At 45.0% G+C, this 6,807-nt stretch overlaps 2 annotated features.

Moving 5' to 3' along the window:
• Nucleotides 312-512: a silencer, noted in NCBI's record as "peak3667 fragment used in MPRA reporter construct". NCBI's record gives its function as "represses an SCP1 promoter by STARR-seq MPRAs in K562 erythroleukemia cells {active_cell/tissue: K562}" and the evidence as "EXISTENCE:reporter gene assay evidence [ECO:0000049][PMID:32103011]".
• Nucleotides 2,807-3,307: an enhancer, noted in NCBI's record as "H3K27ac hESC enhancer chr2:39016221-39016721 (GRCh37/hg19 assembly coordinates)". NCBI's record gives its function as "activates a minimal SCP1, AML or CMV promoter by ChIP-STARR-seq in naive H9 embryonic stem cells {active_cell/tissue: H9 hESC(naive)}" and the evidence as "EXISTENCE:reporter gene assay evidence [ECO:0000049][PMID:30033119]".

The raw sequence follows: 6,807 nt of genomic DNA, 5'->3' as shown, positions 1-6,807 counted from the left end.
CCGAGATTGTGCCACTGCACTCCAGCCTGGACAACAGAGCAAGACTCTGTCTCAAATAATAATCATCATCATAATAATATATTATTATTATTTAATAAACATTCTCAGCAAGAGCATTTCAGTGAGGTGTCATTAATTATTCCTTTATTCAGAAAATGCAGTTACTGCTACCTTCTCCATCCTAGGTTTTACTGAAAATGGCCTGAAGGAGTTATTTTTCTTCTATGTTGAATGAATTTATACTATAGAGATTATCCATGTCTGGTTTTCTTCCTTAGAAAAAACATGAACATTTTATTCCTCATAAAAGACATGAATGTTCAGGTGGACAAAAAGAAAATAATAATAAAAGACAGAATAGCAGCCAAGAAGGTCCATTTATGTCCTGAGATTCCACTTTGAGGAAGTGTTGCTTCATTCCATCCTTTGGTTCCTCTTTTTTTTTTTTTTTTTTTGAGACAAGGTCTCACACCAATGCCACTGGAGTGCAGTGGTACGATCACCACTCACTGCAGCCTCAACCTCCCTGGGCCCAGGGGATCCTCCTGCCTCAGCCTCTGGAGCAGCTGGGACTACAGACATGTGCCACCATGCCCAACTAATTTTTTGTACTTTTTGTAGAGTTGGGGTTTCACCATGTTGCCCAGGCTTGTCCATCCTTGAGTTTGAAATGTATTTTAACAACAATGCCTGTTAACCTTTCAAATAAGACTTTATTTGTCCATAGAGATTAACAAATACGGGGCCCTATCCTGTACAAAGAGTTTAAAGAAGTTTCCTCACCCGGGAGACAATGTAGGGGTTCTTTTATTTTTCTGTTTTTTGAGACAGGGTCTTGCTCTGTAGGCCAGGCTGGAGTGCAGTAGTGCAATCTCTGCCTCTCGGGCTCAAGTGATCCTCCCACCTCAGCCTCCTGAGTAGGTGGGATTACAGGCATGCGCCACGATGCTGGGCTAATTTTTTTTTTTTTTTTGTACTTTTAGTAGAGACGGGGTTTTGCTGTTGCCTAGGCTGGTCTCCAACTCATGGGCTCAAGCAATCCACCCACCTCTGCCTCCCAAAGTACTGGGATTATAGGCTTGAGTCTCTGTACCCAGCTCAATGTAGTTTTTATTTGTTTTAAACAAATGGTTCTCAAATGGGGGCAGTTTTGAGGGGGCAGGAAACATTTGGCGATGTCCAAAGACATTGTTGGTTTTCACAGCTTGTGGGGTGGGAGGTGCTACTGGCATCTAGTGCTTAGAGGCCAGGGATACTGCTGAATATCCCACAAGGCACAGGATACCCAAAGAAAAAATCACTCGGTCCAAAATGCCAATACAGCCAAGGTGAAGAAAACCCTGCTTTAAACAAAATGAGATAAGTAATCACTAACAAAGCCTAATAGCTATTAGGTGTAAATTATGCCCATAGACATCTCTGAAAATGAAAATATATTTTGAACTACAGAAAGTGAAAATCTCGGCTGGGCGCAGTGGCTCATGCCTGTAATCCCAGCAGTTTAGGAGGCCGAGGCCGGTGCATCACCTGAGGTCAGGAGTTCGAGACCAGCCTGGCCAACATGGTGAAACTCTGTCTCTACTAAAAATACAAAAAAAATTAGCCAGATATGGTGGCACACGCCTGTAATCCCAGCTACTCAGGAGGCTGAGGCAGGAGAATCGCCTGAACCCAGGAGGCAGACGTTGCAGTGAGCAGAGATCATGCCACTGTACTCCAGCCTGGGCAACAGAGCAAGACTGTCTCAAAAAAAAATAAAATAAAAATATAGTGAAAATCTCTGCCAAATCAACTCTAATAAATATGTACTGTGTGAATAAGAGCTTGTGTGTACATTTTGTTCTTATCAAGAATTCTAAGTACTTAAGAATTTGAAGAAATTATATGTACAAATGAGAAAAGCCTGGCACAGATGAATAGGGATACATTTACTTTAAAAACATGTTCTACCATTAAATTTTGTTTTGGCTTTTTACCAAAAAAACCACTTTTCTTTTGTTTTTGTTTTTGAGATGGAGTCTCACTCTTGTCACCCAGGCTGGAGTGCAATGGAGCAATCTCAGCTCACTCCAACCTCTGCCTCCTGGGTTTAAGCAATTCTTCTGCCTCAGCCTCCCGAGTAGCTGGGACTACAGGCACCTGCCAGCATGCCCGGCTAATTTTTATATTTTTAGTAGAGATGGGGTTTCACCATGTTGGCCAGGCTGGTCTCAAACTCCTGACCTCAGGTTATCTGCCTGCCTCGGCCTCCCAAAGTGCTGGGATTACAGGCATGAGCCACCGCGCCTGGCCAGAATCACTTATTTTGAAAATGTGAAGACATGACTTGTATGTGAATGCTACTACTGCTAAACCTCTGCACTACAAAATTCAAGTTGTCACACTTAGGCCCACATTAAAATGTTTAAAACACACCCATGCACACACACACACACACACCCTGTTACTTTATCTTTGAACAAAGTCCAACCTAGTCGACTTTGGCCAATATGCTTTTTTTTTTTTTTTTTGAGTCGGAGTCTCGCTCTGTCGCCCAGGCTGCAGTGCGGTGGCACAATCTCGGCTCACGACAAGCTACGTCTCCCGGGTTCACACCATTCTCCTACCACAGCCTCCCGAGTATTTGGGACTACAGGCGCCCGCCACCACACCTAGCTATTTTTTTTTTGTATTTTTAGTAGAGACGGCGTTTCACCATGTTGGCCAGGATGGGCTCGATTTACTGACCTCGTGATCCGCCCGCCTCGGCCTCCCAAAGTGCTGGGATTACAGGCGTGAGCCACCGCGCCCGGCCTGTTTTGTTATTTTGTTTTGTTTTTTTTTTTTGAGGCAGAGTCTTGCTCTGTCGCCCAGGCTGGAGTGCAGTGGCGTGATCTCTGCTCACTGCAAGCTCCGCCTCCCGGGTTCACGCCATTCTCCCGCCTCAGCCTCCCAAGTAGCTGGGACTACAGGCGCCCACCACCACGCCCACCTAATTTTTTTGTATTTTTAGTAGAGACGGGGTTTCACCATGTTAGCCAGGATGGTCTCCATCTCCTGAACTCGTGATCCACCCGCCTCAGCCTCCCAAGGTGCTGGGATTACAGGCTTGATCCACTGCGCCCAGCCTGTTTTGTTTTAAAGTATATGACTCTAGAGGGTTATGAATGTAGAATTTTTTTTGTTTTTTGTTGTTTTTTGTTTTCTTTGAAAAGGAGTGTCACCGTGTCGCCGAGGATGGAGTGCAATGGCATGATCTCAGCTCACTTCCGCCTCCTGGGTTCAAGCAATTTTCCTGCCTCAGCCTCCCGAGTAGCTGGGATTACAGGCACTCACCACCACGCTAATTACCACCTGGCTAATTTTTAGTAGAGACGGGGTTTCACCATGCTGATCACGCTGGTCTCGAATTCCTGATCTCAGGTGATCCACCCGCCTTGGTCTCCCAAAGTGCTGGGATTACAGGCATGAGCCACCGCACCTGGCTGACTGTAGGATGTTTAAAGTGAAGCCTGATTAAAAACTTTAGTTCCTAGGCTCAGTAACCCTTCTCCTATAGCGTGAACTGGAAAAATCCGTTTGTTTGAGGACTTGATTATTAGTAGGATTACCAGACAGAACAGCAAAGACATGCTATGCTCCTTAGAAGACAGATGTCTTTACAAATCAGGAGCCATGCTATAGGATGGGCACCAAGGGACTATCCCATGTGGTAAAGAAACTCATCCACTGATTATAGACCAAGAGCAAAACAATTAGTAATTAGAAACGTTTCTGTTAATGCTGCCCTTCTGTCTCTGAAATTCACCTGTGCACCTTCCCATTCAAACTCCAGCTCTTGCTATTACTTCTAGCTCATAAATATTTATACCATCCTTTTTTACAATAAGCATGACTAAGACTGAATTAACTGAAGCATGAAATCTGATTAGTTAACAAGAAAGCCACCGGGCACGGTGGCTTCACGCCTATAATCCCAGCACTTTTGGAGGCCGAGGCAGGCTGATCACCTGAGGTGAGGAGTTTGAGACCAGCCTGACCAACATGGAGAAACCCCATCTCTACTAAAAATACAAAATTAGCTGGGCGTGGTGGTGCATACCTGTAATCCCAGCTATTCGGGAGGCTGGGACAGGAGAATCGCTTGAACCTGGGAGGCGGAGGTTGCGGTGAGCTGAAATCACGCCATTGCACTCCAGCCTGGGCAACAAGAGTGAAACTCCATCTAAAAAAAAAAAAAAAAATCCAATTGTCCAGTTTATAACTAATGTTTGCCACTTGGCTAGTTTGAAACCCATATTGGGGTTGCAAAAATGCCCTCCATGTTTATGCTTATAATTTATTTCGCTCCCTCCTTCCCTCTCTCTCTTTCTTTCTACACAGTGTCTTGCTCTGTTGCCCAGGCTGGAGTGCAGTGGCACAATCTCAGCTCATTGCAACCTCCGCCTCCCAGGTTCATGTGATTCTCATGCCTCAGCCTCCCGAGTAGCTGGGATTACACGCGTGAGCCACCACGCCCAGCTAATTTTTGTATTTTTTTGTAGAGATGGGGTTTCACCACGTTGGCCGGAACTGCTGACCTGAATTGATCGACCCGCCTCGGCCTCCCTAAGTGCTGGGATTCTAGGTGTGAGACACTGCACCTGGCCTTAAAATTTCAATTTAACATATTTTAAAGAAGTGCTATGTGTCAGTCACCCTGTTAGGAACTCAGAATACAAAGATAAATAGGGATACATGAGAACAGAGAAATAAAGTTTATTTGAATACTTTTTTTTTTTTTTTGAGACAGAGTTTCACTCTGTCGCCCAAGCCGGAGCGCAGTGGTGTGATCCTGGCTCACTGCAACCTCCACCTCCCAGGTTCAAGTTATTTGAATAATTCAATCTGGACCATAATTTAGCCTCCAGAAGGGTCTGAAGAGTATGGATGTCTGTTGAAATTAAAAGGGAGCTAAGGGATTCAACCAAGTCTCTTAATTGTGCTTTTTAAGACTTTCTCAGGCAGGGCTCTGTGGCTCATGCCTGTAATCCCAGCACTTTGAGAGGCCGAGCTCAGAAGTTCCAGACCATCCTGGGAAACATAGTAAGACCCTTCCTCTACCAAAAAAAAAAAAAAACTTTTTAAATTAACTGGGCATGGTGGGTGTGCCTGTGGTTCCAGCTACTAGAGAGACTGTGGTGGGAGGACTGCTTGAGCCCAGGTGTTCCATACCAGCCCTGGCAACATAGGGAGACCCTGTCTCTAAAAAAAGAAAAATGTAAAAATTAGCCAGGCATGGTGGCGCCCGTAGTCCCAGCTACTCTGGAGGCAGAGGTGGGAGCCCAGGAGGTAGAGGTTGCAGTGAGCTGAGATGGTGCCACTCCACTCCAACCTAGGTGACTGGGTGAGACCCTGTCTCCAAAAACAAACAAACAAACAAACAAACAAAAAACAAGCACCATTAAGAACATACAAATGAGAGAGGCTGGGAGAAAATATTTGCAAATCACTTATCTTCTTTTTTGAGAGGCGTGATCTTGGCTCACTGCAACCTCCGCCTCCCAGGTTCAGGCGATTCTCTTGCCTCAGCCTCCCGAGTAGCTGGGACTACAGGCGCACATCACTATTCCCAGCTAATTTTTGTGTTTTTAGTAGAGACAAGGTTTCACCATATTGGCCAGGATGATCCCAATCTCTTGACCTCGTGATCCGCCCACCTCGGCCTATCCAAAGTGCTGGGATTACAGGTGTGAGCCACTGCGCCCGGCCAGTAAATACCCTATTTTAAAAATTAGTGCCTTCCTGGAAGAAGTTGCAAAAAAAAAAAAAAAAAAAGGCAAAATATCTCAATAAACGTTTCAACAAAGAAGATAAACAAATGGTTTAATATGCACATGAAAAGATGCTCAATATCCTTAGTCACGAGGGAAATGCAAAACGAAACCACAAGTAGATACTGCTTCACAACTTAACTAGAATGGCTGTCATCAAAAACAAAGGCCGGGTGTGGTTAGTGCCTCAAGCCTATAATCCCAGCACTTTGGGAGGCTGAGGAGGGAGGATCATTTGAGCCCAGTTCAAAACCAGGCAGGGCAGCACAACCAGACCTTCTCTTTGCCAAAAAAAAAAAAAAAAAGCCCATTTGGTGGCCTGCACCTGAAGGCGGGATTGCTTGAACCTAGGCAGTCACGGTGGCAGTGACCTATGATTTTGCCATTAAACTCCAACCCCTGTGACAGAGCCAGACTCTTATCAAAAATTAATTAAAAATAAAAAACTCAGCAAAGTCTAAGTAATCACAATTTTATTTAAAAAATATGGGCTGGGTGCAGTGGCTCATGCCTGTAATCCCAGCACTTTGGCAGGCCGAGGCAGTCGGATCACCGGAGGTCAAGAGTTTGAGACCAGCCTGACCAACATGGAGAAACCCCGTCTCTACTATAAAAATACAAAAATTAGCTGGGCATGGTGGCGCATTCCTGTAATCCCAGCTACTTGGGAGCCTGAGGCAGGAGAATCGCCTGAACCCGGGAGGCAGAGGTTGTGGTGAGCCGAGATCGCACCATTACACTCCAGCCTGGGCAACAAGAGCAAAACTCCATCTCAAAAATAAATAAATAAAGACTACAGAAACAAAGAAAAAAGCATACACATTGATTACAATTACCTAAAAATCTTTAAAGGATATTAATATGCAAAAGCGAAAAACATGTATAGGTACTGGAATAATTTTATTTTTGCTTGAAAAAACACTTAATGAGAGCCGGGTGTGGTGGCTCATGCCTGTAACCCCAGAACTTTGGGAGGCCGAGGTGGGTCGATCAGGAGTTTTAGACCACCCTGGCC

Source organism: Homo sapiens, chromosome 2 (genome assembly GCF_000001405.40).
Source record: "Homo sapiens chromosome 2, GRCh38.p14 Primary Assembly".
In the NCBI taxonomy this organism is placed as follows: Eukaryota; Metazoa; Chordata; class Mammalia; order Primates; family Hominidae; genus Homo; species Homo sapiens.
Note: the sequence above shows the minus strand (reverse complement) of the source record. Positions and strands in the feature narration are given on the sequence as shown.